Here is a 19,585-nt window from a genome sequence, read left to right as displayed (position 1 = left end):
CTATTTTATTGTTTCCATAACTACTCTTGGATGCTTATTATTCCATTTTAACTTTATAAATAACTTATCTCCATAAAAAAACCTGACTGTGTTAACATTTTACATTAAGTTGACATTATTATGATGTTTATTCTTCCAGTCCCAGGACATTTTTATTCACATATTATTCTTCATTTTGTATCAGTTTGTACTAATTTAAATGATTTATGAATATTCAGAGAATACTGACACCTACAAGAATGGTTAACCCTATGATAAAAGGAAAAAACATCTTTCTCCTTTGACATATTCTGGCTGGCTCACCAAGTTATAGGAAAATCCTTTCTTTTTCTCCTACTTTCATCTGTGTCTTCAAGAGGTAAATGCCTTAACATTTATATGATTGAGTTAGGGCCAGGGTGCTTCTACTTTCAAAATGTAGGAGCTGATCCAATAGTAGTCCAAGATTGGCAAAATGTCTTTGTTAAATGAGAAACCTCATCAGGTCTCCATTAATTCACATGTTTCCAAGTGTAAGCAAAATGTTCTATTTCCTAAAAGTGAGAGGCTCTCTGTTTTCCCTAAGGCCACTTTTTCTAAATCTTCTCAGCTTCTTCCTTTTCTTGTTTCTCTCCAAAGACACCAAAGTAGGGTTTGTCAGACAATCTGCACCACTACTGCATATAATAATCGTTCTTGGGATCCTGTGATTGACATTTTGGCATACAGTGTCACAAGGCCATGTTAACAGACTACGTTTTTTACTGACTACAAACCCCAACATCTATGCTTTGTTTCCTGCCCAGTTGGAGACACCCTAACCTACCAATTTTTCATCACTATAGTAATCAAGACTCATACCCATGCTTCCTCCTCTCTCCTTATGCCCCCTGACTAAGCTTGTGCCTCCTTATGTGGCCTTGTGTGGCATGGTGCACCTTCTCATCTTGGAAACTGTGGGTAATAAGCTCTTCTTTCAAAAGCAGTTATCTCTGTGTCTGCCTTCTTACTATACCCGATTAAAACAAACCGTTTAAAACATGAGAATCTGCTTTCCTTCTGCTCTGGGAGCTCTTTGCCATTCATCTCAGATATTGTTCACCATTGCCTTTGCTTGTAGGTTTAATGGCAGTGGAATTATTTGTTCTCATAATGATGTTGACATAGCTTTTGTTGTTGTTCTGTTTTTGATTTTGCTGTTGCTATTTATAGTCTCTCTACATTTTCGCTATCCCTTGATCTCGGGTGCTGATATAGTAATGCAAAAGGCAAATCCACTTTTATAAACAACCACGGAATTTGTATGCCCCATAGTAATAAGGAAGGTTATTTTAGTATTATCTTAGAGTCCCCGTCTTTCCTGGGCACATAAGTGCCTCTAAGAGAACTGAGCTAATAATTTCTGTTCTACCTTGTGTTTTGTGACTACCTTCTGTTCTCTTCCCACAGCCAAGCCTAGTTTCTTAGTCTGAACTGTCATGCCTAATAACTTTCTTAGTTCAGGTGGCTTTTTCTTCATGGAGGGTCAGTTGTACATATCATCCACCTGCAATCTAGCTTTTATGTCCACTACACTCTCTTGCTCACTAAACTTAGTTGTTAATATCTGAAGCCCAACTATTAATGAGGCTCAAATTATCTTTCAATACGAGTTCTGGAACTTTACACATAAGTGGACTAGGCTAAGCACTATTAGAAGCTGAAGTTTACTGACTCCAAGAATCAGCCTATCCTAGCCTCAGATCTTACCCAACTGGAACCTATACCTTGTAGTCATTCATTTTGTACAATGATTTTTATATATCCATGTTATAATTTCTTTGAACTAATTATAATTACAATAGATATCTGTACCATGTATAAATTATGTGGGGTCAAATTATTCTACTAAAAATTGGCAAAAGTGTCTCTAGTTTTCATAAATTATTATGCTAAAACCAAAATTGCTTAAGGCTAAGGGTGAACTTTTCGTTTGTGTTTCCAGTTAAAGGTCATGACTTAAGAATCAACTAGAGGTTATGAGACATGAACAGCTGGCTATAGAGATTATGTCAAAGAAAATAATATGCTTTTTTTTAAGATCATGACTTATGACACCAAAATGAAATGCTCTTGGCAAGGAATAGAGTTTATCTCATGGGACCTGAGAAGAATATATTTTCTAGGAGACTTGCCAACAGGATAAAGAGAGATTTCAATTGAAGATTGAGAAAAGAGGGGGGAAATGCACAGCTTACACTATAAAATACTGCCCTTGGAGGTTATTAGGTATAAATTAGCTGGGGGGGACAGAAGCAATGGAGAAGATGCCAAGTAATTTATAAAAGGAAATAACAGAGAATAGAATCATAGGGTAAATCTGACATCTTCAGAGTGACTATAGCAATGAAAGAAGTATGTGTAATAAACAAAATGAACTTGAGACATTTAACCCAGTGAAATCCATACAAGGTCATGAATGCCACTGAGAGTTGGCAGGATTGTTGACAAATGATGATAAAAGGAGAAAATATCCAGCTTTAAGGGAAAAGATATCACACAGAGAAGGAAGTATTGGGGAAAAGGACAGCTCTATATTTCAAGAATGTCTAAACCTAAATGGAAGCTCAGGAAGCTAGATCAGAATATCACACTGTCAAACATTTGGATGAGGATGCAGGAATGCCAAATATACATGGTACTGTAACTGTGCCAATCAGAGATAGGAGTTAGCCATAGCATAAGAGGAAGAATGCCATCATGTGTTTGAGGAACATGACTGTCACCTGCTAGCAACTTACTCTTCCAGGAGGTCAAACACATCACAAGATTTTTCAATCAGGATGAATAGAGGCAGGAGGAATAGTGAGAAAAGAGGTTAGGTAACGAGTTGTGGGGATGTGAAGGTTAAAGAGAATAAGGCACACTTAATAAATGATTCTTCCTCCATTATATTCTACCCAATGCCATATCCCTGAACCCACCTAATACATCAGCTCAGCTGTCCACATTCCCAGTGCACTAGCCTTGATTCTGGGCCATATTCTAAACACTACTTTCAGTTTGGCACTTCATCAATATCAATCCACCCCTAATCTCTCCAGCCTAACAAAATAGAGTTCATTTTTCAATTAAATCACGGTCTCAGCTTCAAACGGTGGCTCAGCTTCAAATAGTGACTCAAGAACCTAAGCTACTTTGGTCTTGTCTTCTGCAATCTAGCATCTTCAAGGTCACCCTGGTATCATCTAGTCCAATCTTGTCCAACCCATGACCCACAGGGCCACATGTGGTCCAGGATGACTTTGAATGCAGTGTAACACAAATTCATAAACTTTCTTAAAACATTTTGAAACTTTTTTGTGTTTGTTTTTTTTAAGCTCATTGGCTATCATTAGTGTATTTTATGTGTGGCCCAAGACAATTCTACTTCTTCCAATATGGCCCAGGGAAGCCAAATGATTGGAGACTCCTGAATTCTAGTCAGTAAATGATGAAAAGAGAGTTTGGGGTACCCCAGACTCCTTACTTCACCATCTAGGCCTGGAATTATAGGCAACTCTTTTGTTTATAATCCATTGATAAAATCTAGTGACATAGCCTCATCTAGATGCAAAGGGTAGAGGGACTGTATACTCTGACTTGGCAACTTCTTTCCAGCAACAGTTCTATCAATGGAAGGGGAACAAATGTTTGACTGTCCGTGAGTTACTCTCTGTCACTAGAGAAGTTCACATGGAGCCATGAATGATTGACGTCACCTTGGCCTCTACACTTTTGGATGAACAGGGAGTCAATGATTGATGCCAACTGTGTACCAAAAGAAGGATCCTTTTAAAAAGAAAAAAAATTAAATAAATATTAAACTTTAATAAAGATACCCATGGTGATATAACTTAGAAGAAATGTATTAAATTGTAATTTACTTCAAAATACATCAAATTTAAGATAAATGGATGTATAAAGACAGGAATCAGTAGATGGTTAGATATGCAACTAATCTAGTAAAATATTAATGATACAGGTAGTGAATTTATGGGCATTTACTCAAAATTCTACAAACTTTTCAATAGGTTGGACATTTTTTATAATAATATGTTGAAAGAGAAAGAATAAGGTCTGACCAGATACTACCAAAATACAACCTGAGGTTTAGAGGTGTATTTACATATATACAATTAATTTGAGGTGTATTTACATATGTAAATTACATATGTACAATTTACTATGTACAGACGATTCCCTTTATAAGTTTTATCACCTCCCAAAACTTGGTGGGGGTGCCTTTCTTTGGGGTAACTTATTTTCTTCTTCACAGAGGTTTTATATTTTGCTTTTCTCCAGAATCAAATTGATGGTAAAGCAGAGAGAACAGAAATGTTATATATACAGTAATGTGTACAGTCCAGCAACCTTTAATGATTTTTCTGGAACTGCCTCAGAATATGTGAGGTAAGGCATGCTTACACATGCATATAAGACCAGGGTTTCATGGTATGATTTAGCCCCTTGGTCTTCTACAGGGAAACTCACACTTTTCAAGTACAGGCTAGGAATGAGCAAAATGTAATTCTCTTGCTTTATCTACTGTTTTTTTTTCTTACCATTTCTTAATATTATTATACTATGTCAATAATCCCTGATAGCCACAAATAGTGGCTCCCACCTGTAATCCCAGCACACTGGGAGGCTAAAGCAAGAGGATCACCTGAGGCCGGGATTTCAAGACCAGCCTGGGCAACATAATGAGAGTTTGTCACTACAAAATATAAATAAATAAATAAATATCAGCTGGGCTTGGTGGCACATGCCTGTGATCCTAACTACTTGGGATGCTTGAGGATCCTCCCTGCAGGAGGATTGCTTGAGTCCAGGAGTTGGAGATTGCAGTGAGCTATGATCAGGCCACTAAACTCCAGCCTGGGCAACAGAGCAAGATCCCATCTCTAAAAAGAAAAAATAATAATACTCCATTACACCACACACACACACACACACACACACACACACACACAGAAGCATTTCTGTAGGCACTGGTTCTAGGAAAAAGATTCCTCATCTTCACTACATTCTCAAAAAGCATTCATGATATAAAGTTTGCAAACTCCTGTTATGAATGTTTATCTGGTAAGGTTTGGCTGTATGTAAATAACATATCAGAGATTAGTTGTGATGGAACAGCAGAGGGTACTGGGAGGCCAGAATCATGAAGGCAAGTAGCGTGAGTATGTAGAGGAATGAAAAGAGTTTAAGAGGAGAGATAAAAGTGCTGGCCTTACTCCTCAGTTTTGCCTAGAGTTAGTCCTAGATCTCATACAAAGGCAATCTAACCTGACTCAGACCCTCTACTTAGGAGCAAAATTATCAACAATTTCTTGTGTATCAGGACAAAAAGGAGAAAGAATAGCTACTTTAAAACTGCAGCTGTTTTGTCTTCCTCAGTATATGTGTGTGCCTGAAGCAGGTGATTGCAGGTCCTGGTGAGAGAGGCAGCAGCAGCAGTGAAGGGAGATGCTGTTTTTAGAGAAGGCACCCTGTGGGGCCTGGTCCAGATAGACCAGTAGGCAGACTTCCTTTTCTGGTTAAGTTGACCACTGAGCAGTTTGAAAGCTGGTGGTTGAGAAAGTAAAGTAAAAACTGCTTCACATAATAATAGAAAAGTTCTTTCTTCATTTGGAAAGTGAAATCTTTACAGACTATGTTAATTTAGGAAGCCACTTTTTTCCTTTATTATTATCTTGGAATTACTGCTTGGAGTCTTCTTTGTGTGTATGTTATGCATGTGTGTGTGTGTGTGTGTGTGTGTGTGTGTGTGTTGTTCAAAGACTTCTCTCTGAACACTAGGTCTTGAGGCTGGAAGATGGCAGAAAGAAGCAGTGATGTATTGAACTCACACGGGGAGAGGTACTTACCCAAACACAATTGGACTTTGAATTTCAAAGCCCATAAAAGGTATCATTAGAAGTCTCCTGTGACCTCTTTGTGAATATATTAGACCCTAGAAAATGTTCTGCAGTGAGTTGCTATCACCAAAAAATAGTGGAAGGAATGACTGAGCAGAAGACGGATCTAAAGCATAAAAAGGCTTTCTTGAAGGGTATGAGATCAACAGTGGAACGTTTAAAAAAAGGGTCTATCACTCTATGGATCAATCACACCTGAACTGAACATATCCATGAAGAGGGTTGTCAGATTTAGAAAGAAAAAAAAGGATACCTAGTTGAATATGAATTTCAGATAAATAGTAAATTTTTTAGTATAAGTATATCCCATGCAATGTTTGGGGCATGTTTACACTAAAAAAGTGTTTGTTATTTATCTGAAATTCACACTGAACTGGCATTCTGCACTTTATCTGGCAACCCTACCATGAGAAAACTCCTATTTTTCTTTTCTCTTTGACTTTGAAAACAGCCCTAAGTATCATCTGCCTTCAACTTTCCACCATGATGTTTAGTTTGTTCAAGATATGTTCACACCATTAGTGATCATGTAATGCACACACACAGCAGCCATATGTTGGTGTTGCTGAGGATAAGTTAAGAATAAAAGGATGAGCTGTAGAGACCCTGGAGGTGAGGCCAGGGTGGGTGGGTCAGCACCTGCTTGCTGCACACTCCCCTGCTGAGGCCATGCAATCTTTTGGGAAAGTAGTGACCATAGTCTGGGTAAGGACCCACAGAAAAGCAAACAGAACTCTACAGCAGAGCTCAAGCCACAGCTGGGGATCTGGTGACAGCAGATAAACAAAAGAGAACCTCAAAAGGGAGTAAATTCTAGCTCCTTCTATTGTGGGGCTGAAGCCACCAGGCACCAGGCAACTGAGCCAAACTCATCATTTTAATTGATAATGTAGCTTCTTTTCTACTCTTCAAAAAAGTTTCCATATGTCACAAATGTTGCCGAGAAAGTCTTCTTTCCATTTAATGGAAGTTATTTTCTAGCTGAATACTATAGACCTGTGTTGTCCAATACAATAGCTACTAGCCACAGGTGATTATTGAGTACTCAAAAAGTAGCCAGTCAGAACTAAGATATGCTGTAAGAGTAAAATATGCATTGGATTTCAAAGACTCAGTATGATAAAACAAAGGTAAAATAACTCCATAATTTTATATTGATCAAATGTTGAAAAAATACCACTTTGGATATGCTGATTTAAGTAATGGAAGTATTATTAAAATTAATTTCATCTATTTCTTCTTACTTTTTTTCACATGGCTACATGTACATTTATAATTTTAAATTGTATTTCTGGCTCACAGATGTCTTTCTATTGGACAAAGCTATTGTAGACTCTATCGGTAGACTGTCAGAATGAGATAGAAATGATCTAAAAAATGATCTACTTTAGTTCTGTAATTTAGCTGGTAAGAAAAGCGAGACCCAGAAAGGTGAAGTGCCTGTTCAAGATCACCAAGCTAGTTAATGACACAGGACTACAACTGGAGTCATGACATTTCAGCGTGTTCTAATTTTCTATACTACTTCTCTAATGTTTAGTACAGTCACAAGTGGCAAAATGACATTTTAGTCAATAAAGTATCACATATATGATGGTGGCCTCATAAGATTATAATGGAGCTGAAAAATTCCCATCCCCTAGTGACTGTAGCCATTGTAATGTTCTAGCACAATTACTTAATAAGTTTAGTGTAGCCTAAGTGTACAGAGTTGATAGTCTACAGTACTATACAGTCATGTGCTAGGCCTTCACAGTCACCTACCACGTGCTCACTTCTTTACCCAGAACAAGTTCCGATCCTGCAAGCTCCATTTAAGGTAAATGCACTAAACAGGTGTATCATTTTTAAGTTGTTTATACTGTATTTTTACTGTAGCTTTTCTATGTTTAGGTATGTTTAGATACACAAATGCTCACCATTGTGTTACCATTGTCTGCAATATTCAGTACAGTGACCTGCTGTATAGTTTTGCAGCCTGGGGGCAGCAGGCTGCACCATATAGCCTCAGTATGGAGTAGGCTCTGCCATCTATGTGCTCTGTGATATGCACACAATGCCAAAATCACCAAAGCATGCATTTCTCAGAACATATCTCTGTCGTTAAGCAATTTATGACTACATTTCAATTTGTTAAAATTATACATGTGCAAGAAAAATTGTAAAGTTTGGAAGGATCTTGAAACATCAAAGCAATTATCCTGCATGATCTAGGAAGTTTAACTTAATAAGAATTTTACTTTGTCTTGTCCAAATGAAAGTACTGTAAGCGATGGATTTTAAAATAAAATACTGTCCTTAAGAATGTACTTAATGGCCAGGCACAGTGGCTTATGCCTGTAATCCCAGCAATTTGGGAGGCCAAGGTGGGAGGATTGCTTGAGCCCAGGAGTTTGAGACTAGCCTGAGCAACATAGCAAGACCTCATCTCCACAAATAGTAATAAAAAAAGTTGCCTGGTGTGGTGGTGTGTGCCTGTGGTCCCAGCTACCTAGGAGGCTGAGATGGGAGAATCCCTGAGGCCCGGGTGGTCAAGCCTGCAGTGAGCTGTGATTGAGCCACTGTACTACAGCCTGGACAACAGAGCAAGATCTCATCTCAAAAAAAAAATGACTTATAATAGTGATCATTTTATTGTGAATGAAACTACCTTATTAAAATACAAACATATCACAAGCAGTGCTTGAACTACACGTTAAAATAGTTTTCATATGTGGCCTCTTATTAGAGGTAACTAGAGCTGGACCTAAAAGCAAACATACGAAGTCTGGTAGAGTCTGCAACAGCATTTCTCCTTAATTCATAGCCCACACCCTGTAATTGTGGCCATTTCAAAACTGCAAAGCTCTCCTCGTCTCTCCATCTGTACATTTCCCTCACCCTTGATGTACTATTAAAATAAGAAATTATCAGATATCATAGCATATGTAATAGCATCACAGGTGTCCTAAATTTTTTCTCTCTCATTGTGGAATTTTGTGAAATGATCCAGGTAGAAATCAAGCAATGTTGTCCTTTAAGGCAGATTCTAAGCAGTAAAAAAAATTAAAGACAATTGTGGAAATCAAACAACAAGCCATGTTACATGTTTCATTGTCCATATACTCACTAGGATACCCTCCCCTGCCCACTCTCCATGTCCTATTTCTTCAGTGGGGTCTTCATCCACATGAATTAACACATGGACTTATAATACATCAAGCACTATTCTATGTGCTGGGAATATTTAGTTAACAATTCTGGTACTGTCCGTCCCCTCAGGAACTAACGTTCTTTTTTGTTGTTGTTGGTTTTCTTTTTGTTGTTTTTTGTTTGTTTGTTTTGCTTTTTGAGATGGAGTCTTGCTCTGTCGCCCAGGCTGGAGTGCAATGGAGATACCTCGGCTCATTGCAACCTCTGCCTCCTGGGTTCAAGCAATTCTCTTGTCTCAGCCGTCCTAGTAGCTGGGATTATAGGCGCTTGCCACCATGCCCAGCTAATTTTTGTATTTTTAGCAGAGATGGGGTTTCACCATGTTAGCTAGGCTGGTCTCGAACTCCTGACCTCCAGTGATCTGCCCGCCACAGCCTCTCAAAGGGCTGGAATTACAGGCGTGAGCCACTGCACCCAGCCCAGGTGTTAACCTGCTATGGCTGCTCGCCTGATTTCCTTACCGCTGAAGTGCAGTGCTGGAATTTCCTTCCTTTCTTGCCTTGGCCTCATGCTCCTGACACTCATTCCTAGATTGACTGACTCTACTCTCCGGGTCTTGAACGTGTTTGTTCCAAATGAATGGGTTCTGATCAACTTGGCCTATAGTCCTGTCCCCATTCTGTGATGACCTTAGGGTCATTGGCACTCATAAATTATAGGAGGATGAAGTACTTTTTTCCATGTTCCACATTAGAAGACCTCTAAAATCTAGGCCTAGCCCTCTCCTTGCTGTTAGGCTAGAGGAGCCTCTGTCCATTGTTATGAACCAAGCCTTCCAATATCTGCGATCTCTGCCCGGACACAGGGACACCAGCTTTCCCTTTCTGCTTGCCTCTTCAACATCCCCTTCCTCCTTCTTTGCCTGAGCACTAGGACTTCTCTTACTGTCTCTGCCTTTATCTTAGTGAATCCCTGTCTGCCTTGAGACCACAATGCAGATTTCATGTCCACTGCTGCAGCGGACATTATTTCAGCTGGTACTTAATGATTTCTTTGCACCTTAGTGCATTCTTCCCCAGCTGACATTTAAGCACAGATTCTTATGCCTTCTGTGTCAGGGAATGAGATTTTGGAGAAATATGAATGTAATCAGAATACATCATTTTTGATAACCCAGGTATTACCCAATTACAAACTCAGGGCTTTTAGAGGTTTCATTTCAAATCAATACCTGCTCCTTAATTAAAATGATCCCATAAGCATTTTCCTATTTAAAAGAGTAACATGAAATATTAATTACTTATATTGGAAGTAAACAACTGAAAGCTAATAAATTTACAAATTCATTTACCACAAAAACTATCAAATGTCTTTTTGTTTAATTGCAATGGATTCCCCTTTAGACATCATAATAGAATTAATAGAACATTCTGGTAATCAATAAAAATTGATTAATTCATCAATCAGCAAAACATGGTTAGATTCTTCAACCTCCAGATGCCAGATGTTATTATTTATACCCAAGCAGTGCCAGAGCATGTACCTAGCAAACAGATATGAGAGACACAACATCAGGATAGAGGGAAGACATTTGGACATTATCCAAAGTTCAGTGTGGGGTGATGTGGCTTTTGCATATATATGGAGCATGTCACCCTTGAAGGGTAAGCATTATGCCGCTCATTAATATATTATCAAGGTCTCTTCCTAAGGGAAAGAAACACAGTCATCCTTCACAGATGAGCTATTACATTTATTCCTGAGGATTTATTAAAAATTAACATTCTATCAGTTTACATTTTTGATACCTGCCGGCACCTAAAAATGCAGTGATTGGCCCAAAATTTTTTAAAAAGGTTCTGAATATGTAAGGACCTCCAAAATAAACATGACCCTCCCCCTTTCCCAAGGTAAAGCCTCCTTTTTCAGTCCATCCTTCTAAGTTCCCTCCAGTTTTCTGCTTACCATCGGCACATGTTTTATGTCACATGTGGAACCCACAAGCCCTTCAAAAGCAAGATCTATTTTTTGAGGCTGGAAGGTATTAATGCCATCATACAAACAGTCTACACTGTAGGTTTACAAAGTAGTTATTATTTAAAAGAAAATATGTGCATAATTATTTCTTTAATATTGTCTCTTCCCTGGGATTATAAACTCGGTGAGAGCAGAGATTGGACCTCTACTGCCTAGTACCATTCCTGAGCACACACATGTCCAGACCAATAATTATAAGAATATATATTTTTGTTTTATTGAGGTATAATTAACAAACACAATTTGTATATATTTAAGGTGCACAATTTGCCATTTTGATATATGTATATATTGTAAAATAATCACCAAGTGAATTAACATATCCATCACCTCATATAGTTATTATTTTCTCTTTTTGTGGTGAGAACACTTAAGATTTACCATTGTAGCAAATTTCAAGTATATAATACAGTTCTGTTAGCAATAGTCACATTACTGTTACTGTATATTACATCCCCAGGACTTATTTACCCTGCATGACTGAAAATTTTTGCCTTTTCACCAACATTTCCCTGTTCTCCCCTTCTTGTAGACCCTGGCAACCACCATTCTACCCTCTACTGCTATGAATTTGGCTTCTTTAGATTCCACATATAAGTGAGATTATACAAAATTTGTCATTCTGTTTCTGGCTTATTTCCCTAAGAATAATGTCCTCCAAGTTTATCCATGTTGTCACAAATGGAAAGACTTCCTTCTTCTATTATTGCTAACCAACATTTCATTGTGTGTGTATATATATCTGTGTGTATAAATGATATGGTTTGAATATGTGTCCCTTCAAAATCGCATATTGAAATATGGTCTCTAGTGTTGGAGGTGGGGCCTGGTGGGAGGTGTTTGTATTATGGAGGCAGATCCCTCATGAATGTCTTGGGCTGTCCCTTTGGTGATAAGTGGGCCCTTTGTTCTGAGTTCACAAGAGATCTGGTTGTTTAAAAGTATTTGGTACCAGCAGGCACAGTGGCTCACGCTTGTATTCTCAGCACTTTGGAAAGCTAAGGTAGGTGGATCACCTGAGGTCAGGAGTTCGAGACCAGCCTGGCCATCATGGTGAAACCCCACCTCTACTAAAAATACAAAAATTAGTGGTGTTGTGTGCCTGTAATCCCAGCTACTCAGGAGGCTGAGGCAGGAGATTCGCTTGAACCCGGGAGACAGAGGTTGCAGTGAGCTGAGATTGCACCACTGCACTCCAGCCTGGGTGATAGAGCAAGAATCTGTCTCAAAAAAAAAAAAAAAAAAAGAATAGTATTTGGTACCTCTTCCATCCTCTTGCTCCTGCTCTGGCCATGTGACATTCCTGCTCCCACTTTGCCTTCCACCTTGTGTAAAATCTCCCTGAGGTCTCCCAAGAAGCCCAGCAGATGCCAGCACCATGCTTGTACAGGCGCGAAACTGTGAGCTAAACTTCTTTTCTTTATAAATTACCCAGCCTTGGGTATTACTTTATAGCAACACAAGAACAGCCTAAAACATATGTGTGTGTGTGTGTGTGTGTGTGTGTGTGTGTTTGTGTTTAGATACACATACCATATTTTCTATATCTATTTATCCATCATCAAATTCCATCAGATTCTCATGAGAACCCTTTGTGGTAGGTAAATGTAGAAACTCTCATAACCAACCTTTACTTAACCAACTGTGTGAGTGACGCTTTTAGCTTCAAGTCATAGAAAATCTCAATTCAAAATAGTATAAGCAATATCAAATTTCTTTTCTCACCTATCAAGCAGTCCAGAGGTATGGTGAGTTCCAAGGCTGGCTGACTGCAGCACACGATGACATCAAATTCTCTCATTTCTTAGGACATGATCTCATGCCACCATGCTGTGTGTGTCTGCATTGCCATTGGGCTGGCTGTCATCAGGGTCTCGCAATGGCTGCCCCAGTTTCAGGTCTCATATCTAGACAGGACAGTTTAGGAGACCACTGTTCAAATAGAAAGGCCAAGATGAGCAGAAAGCAGCAGGGGTAACATTATCAGTAGACAGTAAATGACTAATAGGTAACCAACCTTTAAGCAAAATAATCTGTTCCTACACCTAAAGGGTCCCAGAGAGTAATGTAGCCTGCCTCAGTTGGTTTGGGTTGCTATAACAAAAATGCCATGGACTAGTTTAAATTATGAAATTTATTTCTCGCAGTTCTGGAGGCTGGGAAGGCCAAGATCAAGGTGCTGGCTGATTCATTTCCTGGTGAAAGCCCTCACCCTGGTTTGTAGATAGCCTCCTTCTTGCTGTATCTTCACATGGAAGAGAGAAAGAGCTCTGCTTCCTTCATTGCTTTATAAGGACAACAATCCCATAATGGGGGCTCTACCCCCCATGACTTCATTCCTCAGAAGTCAGACCTCTGAAAGCCCACCACATTGAGAATTAAGGCCTCAACATCTGAATTTTGGAAGGGACCCAAACATTTAGTCCACAGCACAGTCCAAAGCTGGCCACCTGCCATCATTAGGATTTTCAAATAAGACTAAATCCTTTACATCGTCTCCTACATTAAATACCGTGAGACTTCAGGGACTCATAAGTAGTACTTCCTCAGGAAAAGTGAGATACCTCTGAGCTATCTCAGAGGGTAAGACAAACTGATTACAGGGCTATGACAGCTTTATGAGACTATAGCCCAGGCAGGAAAAAGCCACCTCCAGGGAAAGCAACACTGAACAGGGGCTGCTGCTGAGGATGGACTTGCAGAAGCCACAGTTACACGGCTGCTGGATGACGAGGTAGAGAGCAAGAGGAAGAGGCAGGAGGGGCAGACAGTACCTAAAGTCTTATGCTTGTCAGGGGTCTGCCAAGACCCTCTGCAGATGCTCACTTCCCAGCAGGACCCTCTCAGACAGATCTCTGCCCTCTTTATTGTGTTGGGGAAGTCAATGCTAGTCAGCTGAGGAAAGCAGCTATTAGATATATTGACTCTATGGAAGGGAAGAAATTATTGGACCTTCCATAGTTGCTTATATTCCCTTTAAAACTAGGCAAAACTGGCCAGGCGCAGTGGCTTACGCCTGTAATCCCAGCACTTTGGGAGGCCGAGGCGGGTGGATCACAAGGTCAGGAGATCAAGACCATCCTGGCTAACATGGTGGAACCCCGTCTCTACCAAAAATACAAAAAAATTAGCCGGGCGTGGTGGAGAGCACCTGTAGTCCCAGCTATGCGGGAGGCTGAGGCAGGAGAATGGCGTGAACCCGAGAGGCGGAGCTTGCAGTGAGCCGAGATCGCGCCACTGCACTCCAGCCTGGGTGACAGAGCAAGACTCCATCTCAAAAAAAAAAAAAAAAAAAAAAAAAAAAAAAAAAAAAACACACACACACACACAAAACTAGGCAAAACCAATAAGGCAATAAGGTCAGTGGAAGTACACTATTTCATGGGGTCAAAAGTGGCAGTTATGTTCTATTTTAAACAACTGTGAAAATGCTATAGGTCAAAAGGACAGCCCCCCAGCCAAGCACAAAATGCCATATTTATTTTCTAACTACGAGAAATTAATATTTGCAGCATCTACTACCATTTGTGCTTGTGCCAGTGTTGGAAAATTGACAAGCCATTTTCAAGAGCTAGCAAACTAAGTATTTATTGGGCACCCACTGAAGGCTTATACTGCAACAGGGTCTGTGGGAGACACGTGAAAAGGTGAGCAGCATATCCTCAACCCTGAAAAAAGAAACCCAAATTTGAGTCATTAAAATCAATTTCAAAACAACCACTATAAAGCAATGTAAGGCAGTATCAAATTGTAGGGTACTGACCATTAGTAGTGTGTGATTTCAATATAAGCTGGTGTGGTCAGGAATGGTTTCCTATAAAGGTAGGAGTTAAAGAGTGAGTATAGATAGAATCAGAGAAGCACCTTATGTTCTGGACACTTCTCTCTCTCTCTCTAGCATTCTTTCTTTTTACCTAATGAGAACCTTAGTGAGTTCAGAGCCATGTCCATTTCTGAAACAGGAATATCTTAAAATTCCAAAAACTAAGGTTCTAATGATGAGAAAGAACAAGAAATGTTGCTTGAAGTTAATGGAAACAAGCCTAACTTCAGCTCACAAATGAATGCAAAGCTTTATTCTCTAAGCTTTATAGAGAATAGGCACTTAAGAATGCAGATGAGGGGAAACAATGCTATATACTTCCTTCAGCTTGCAAAGACTCAGCCGACTCTGCTGCAAATTATTTGCTCTGTTTAATAAGCGCACCACGTGCAAATGTACTAAACACATAAATACACCAAAGTCATAATCACTAGGTTCAATGTCAAGCACCATTTAAATCCACTGATTAAATCAATTTGATGATAGTAAACCTTTTTTATTAGGAGCGCTGTCTGAAGGAGAAAGCAAAACTTAGAGGGAAACTGCACTGTTACTCTTTCCTTGAAGGAAATGAGTAACTCCATTAATTTCATTTCTTTGAAAAGGACCCAATGCAATCTAACATTTTCTCATTTAGAGTAAAATAAGCTTTCCTTTTTTGTTTTTTTCATTCTGTAGAGTCAGAGTAGCGAGTTTTTCTGTGAATGAGCTGAGGTTCCTGAACAAAGTCTGGATGATAAGAGCAAGTACTCATTCTTTCACGGTGCAAGTGCCCATGCTGGATACCTGTGCTATACTAATGATGAAACTTCAGAGGCCTGGGTGCTGCCTAAGAAGTTGCTGATGCCGTCCTGTGAGATTCTGGGCCAACATGGGGCTACCTCAACTTTGTCCTCTTATGTACCCAACCCCTTGGTTTCAGCAAAGGCACATTCCCTGACAACTTGCAAGTGAGGCATGAGTACCTTTGTAGAGTATCAGCTCTGAGGCAACATCAGTCATGCCCTCCAGGTGCATTAGTAACATGTAGGTACTGAGAAGAATTCAGAAAAAACATGACTACATATTCAATTAGATTTTTATCATCCATGGGTTTTTAATTATTCTAGAGAGATAAGACATAGCTGCATGACAGAGTATGCTTTACAAGGGGCTTATATGGTTACTCTCAAAGTCAGAATGCAAGTTAGCATTCAAATAAGAGAATAATCAGAGTGAGATGGAGAGGGTATGGAAGATTTTTTTGGAAGAAATAAAATCCGATCTGAACCTTAAACAATGAGTAGGGTTTTGACTCCGAGAAGAGAATTAGAAAAATAAAAGGCAGGAGATTTGATGTTTGTATGTTTGCTCTTGTTATATGGGTATAGATTATTTAAGCAAATTCTGTATGCTCTGCATTGTGATTTTGGCTTTTCCCACTTCTCCCACTGTCAGTAGGTCTGTGTTTACAGTCATTTATTGAGTGATGTTATAAAGAGTATTTATTAAGAACTTGTTTTCTGCAAGCTCTATGCTAGTCCCTATAAGTTTGGCAAAACAGGCAAAGCTCATTCCTATCTGAAGTTTAGAATACGGAGAATTTTATTAAGCAATACAAACTCATTTTTGTATCTGGATGTTTGGTTCTTAGCTCGAAGTATTGTCAATGTAATTGTCTTTTTAAAAAAACAAAATGACTTTTATTGTGTTGTATTTTCCTATTACAAAAGCAATAAAAACCTGACTTAATGCCACAGGATGGACTTCCCTGATGCTGATCTTGTCTCACTACTGAAAACACGTAGAAATGCTGAATAAAATTTTTAGATTTTCATACAGTAACATTCATTCCTTGGGAGGTACAGTTCTATGAATTTTACTACATGGATGTATTCATGTAGTAAATACAACCACAATAAGGAAATGGAACAGTTTCATCACCCCCCAAATCATACTCCTTCTGTCCCTTTGTATGATGGTTAATATTGAGTGTCAACTTGATTGGATTGAAGGATGCAAAGTGTTCTTCCTGGGTGTGTCTGTGAGGGTGTTGCCAAAGGACATTAACATTTGAGTCAGTGGACTGGGAGAGGCAGACCTACCCTCAATCTGGGTGGGCACCATCTAATCAGTTGCCAGCATGGCTAGAATAAAGTGGGCAGAAGAACATGGAAGAACTAGACTTGTGAGTCTTCTGGTCTTCATCTTTCTCCCATGCTGGATGCTTCCTGCCCTTGAATATCAGACTCCAAGTTCTTCAGCTTTTAGACTCTTGGACTTAACACCAGTGATCCACTAGGGGCTCTCAAGCCTTTGGCCACAGACCGAAGTCAGCTTCCCTAGTTTTGAGGTTTTTAGACTCAGACTGGCTTCCTTGCTCCTCAGCTTGAAGACGGCCTATTATGGGACTTCACCTTGTGATTGCATGAGCCAATACTCCTTAATAAACTCCCCTTCATATATACATCTATCCTATTAGTTCTGTCCCTCTAGAGAACCCTAATACACTTTGCAATAAATACTTCCTCACCCCAATCCCTGGTGACCAATGATCTTTTCTATGCTCTTGTAATTTTTTCTTTTCCACAATGTCATATAAGTAGAATCATACAATATGCAAACTTTCGGGACTGCTTGTTTCACTCCAGATAATGCCTTTGAGATTATCCATGCTGTATATATTTATAGCCCATGACTTTTTATGCTGAAGAGTATTCTGTTACACAGCTGAGCCACAGTCTGTTAACCTTCACTCACTGTAGGACATTTGGGTTGTTCCCAGTTTTTGGTGATTTTGAATGATGCTGCTCAAACCTTTGTGTATCCTTTCTAACTAAAGATAGATTTTCCATTCCTCTAGAGTGAATAAGAATGGGATTGTAAGATCATAGGCTAAGTGTATGCTTAACTTGATAAGAAATTATTAAGTCATTTTCCAAAATAGCTGTACTATTTTGCATTCCTAAAAGCAGCAATGTATGAAAGTTCCAGTTATTCTACATGTATAAAGTTCCAGTTATTCTACATCCAAGTAAGCACTTGGTATTGTCTTAAAAATAAATCCATTTGTATAGGAGCACCATAGCATTAATAATACAGACTGTGTTTTCTTCTGTTTATTTGCCTTCTGAATATCTTCTTTAGTGAAATGTCTGTTCACATCTTTTGCTCAACTTTGTATTGGGTTGTTTGGTTTCTTACTGTTGGGTTTTGAAAGTTCTATATATATATATATTCTGGATACAAATTCTTGATCAGGTATGTAATTGCAAATATTTTCTCCCAGTCTGCAGGTTGTCTTTTCATTATCTTAAGAGTGTCTTTTTCAGAGCAGAAGTTTTTCATTTCGATAAAATCTAATTCATCAATTTTTCAATGGACCATGCTTTTGGTGTTATTTCCAAGGACTTTTTGCTTAGCTCAAGGTTGCCAAGGCTTTCTCTTAGTTTTATTCTAAGAACTTTACAGTGTTGAATTTTTACATTCTGGTCGATGATCCATTTTCAGTTGATTTTTTGTATGACATGGAAATTTGTTATTTATTTTTTACATATGGATGTTCAATAGTTCCAGCACTGCTTATTGAAAAGATGACTTTCTCCATGGAATTACATTTGTTCCTTTATCAAAAGCTAGTTGAACATGCATGCATAGGTTTATTTCTGGACTTTCTCTTCTGTTCCATTTATCTGTGTGCCTGTACTTTCACCACTGCCATCCTGTATTGATTATTACTATAGCTTTATAATAAATCTTAATGTCTGAGTATGTGTGACTTCCAATCTAATTCTTTGTAAAAATCCTCTTGGTTGTTCCAGTTTATTTGATTTTCCATATAAAGTTTAGAACCAGCTTTATTTGTCTATAAAATGTATACTCCTGGGAGTTTGATTTTAGATTTTTTTGTAGTTATAAATCAATCTGGAAAAAAATAACCTCATTACTATAGTGAGACTTCCAATGTGTGAACATGAAATACCTCTCCATTTATCTAGGCCGTTATTTATTTATTTCAGCATCATTTAGTTATTTTCAGCATGAAAATCTGTACATATATTGTTATTACCTAAATATTTCACATTTTAAAGCTATTATGAGTTGTATCATTGTTTTTGTTTTAGTTTCCAACTGTTTATTGCTATAATATAGACATATAGTTCATATTTGTATGTTGATCTTATATCCTGAAACATTTCTATAATCACTTATCCCATAATTATTTGTAGCTTCCATAGTAATTTTATATAGGCAATCATATTGTCTATGAATAGGGATAGTTTACTTCTTTCATTTAAGTCTATATATCTTGTATTATTTTTCTTGATTTATTGCATTGACTAGGATTTCAAACATGATAAGAGTGGTGAGAGCAGACATTTTTGCCTTTTTCCCATCTTAAAGGGAAGGTAGGCATTTTTTACCTATTAAATATGACAGTAGCTGTAAGTTTTTATAAAGGGTCTTTTTTAGATTGAGGAAAGTTATAGTAAACAAAAGTAAAAGTGAATCACATAGAGGAATAAGACATTTACAATGCATACAGCCAACAAATAATTAATACTGAAAAGTATAAAGAATTCATGCAAATCAAATAGGAAAAAAGCTGACAACTTAGGTAAAGGCTACATTAAAAAATTTTATGTAGAAGGGATATTCAATGAATATCTGAAAAGATGCTAAGTCTCATTAG

General features: G+C 38.4%; 1 long non-coding RNA gene across 4 annotated transcripts in view; it reads right to left on the bottom strand.

Moving 5' to 3' along the window:
- LOC105372121 (uncharacterized) overlaps nucleotides 1-19,585 on the bottom strand; it is a 175,442-nt gene that overhangs the window by 99,326 nt on the left and 56,531 nt on the right. For all 4 annotated transcript variants that reach the window (XR_001753539.1, XR_001753538.1, XR_935473.1 and 1 more), the window contains one exon: nucleotides 12,816-12,997. This is a non-coding gene — a long non-coding RNA (uncharacterized LOC105372121). The remainder of the gene's footprint in view (nucleotides 1-12,815; nucleotides 12,998-19,585) is intronic.

Source organism: Homo sapiens, chromosome 18, assembly GCF_000001405.40.
Source record: "Homo sapiens chromosome 18, GRCh38.p14 Primary Assembly".
Lineage (NCBI taxonomy): Eukaryota > Metazoa > Chordata > Mammalia > Primates > Hominidae > Homo > Homo sapiens.
Note: the sequence above shows the minus strand (reverse complement) of the source record. Positions and strands in the feature narration are given on the sequence as shown.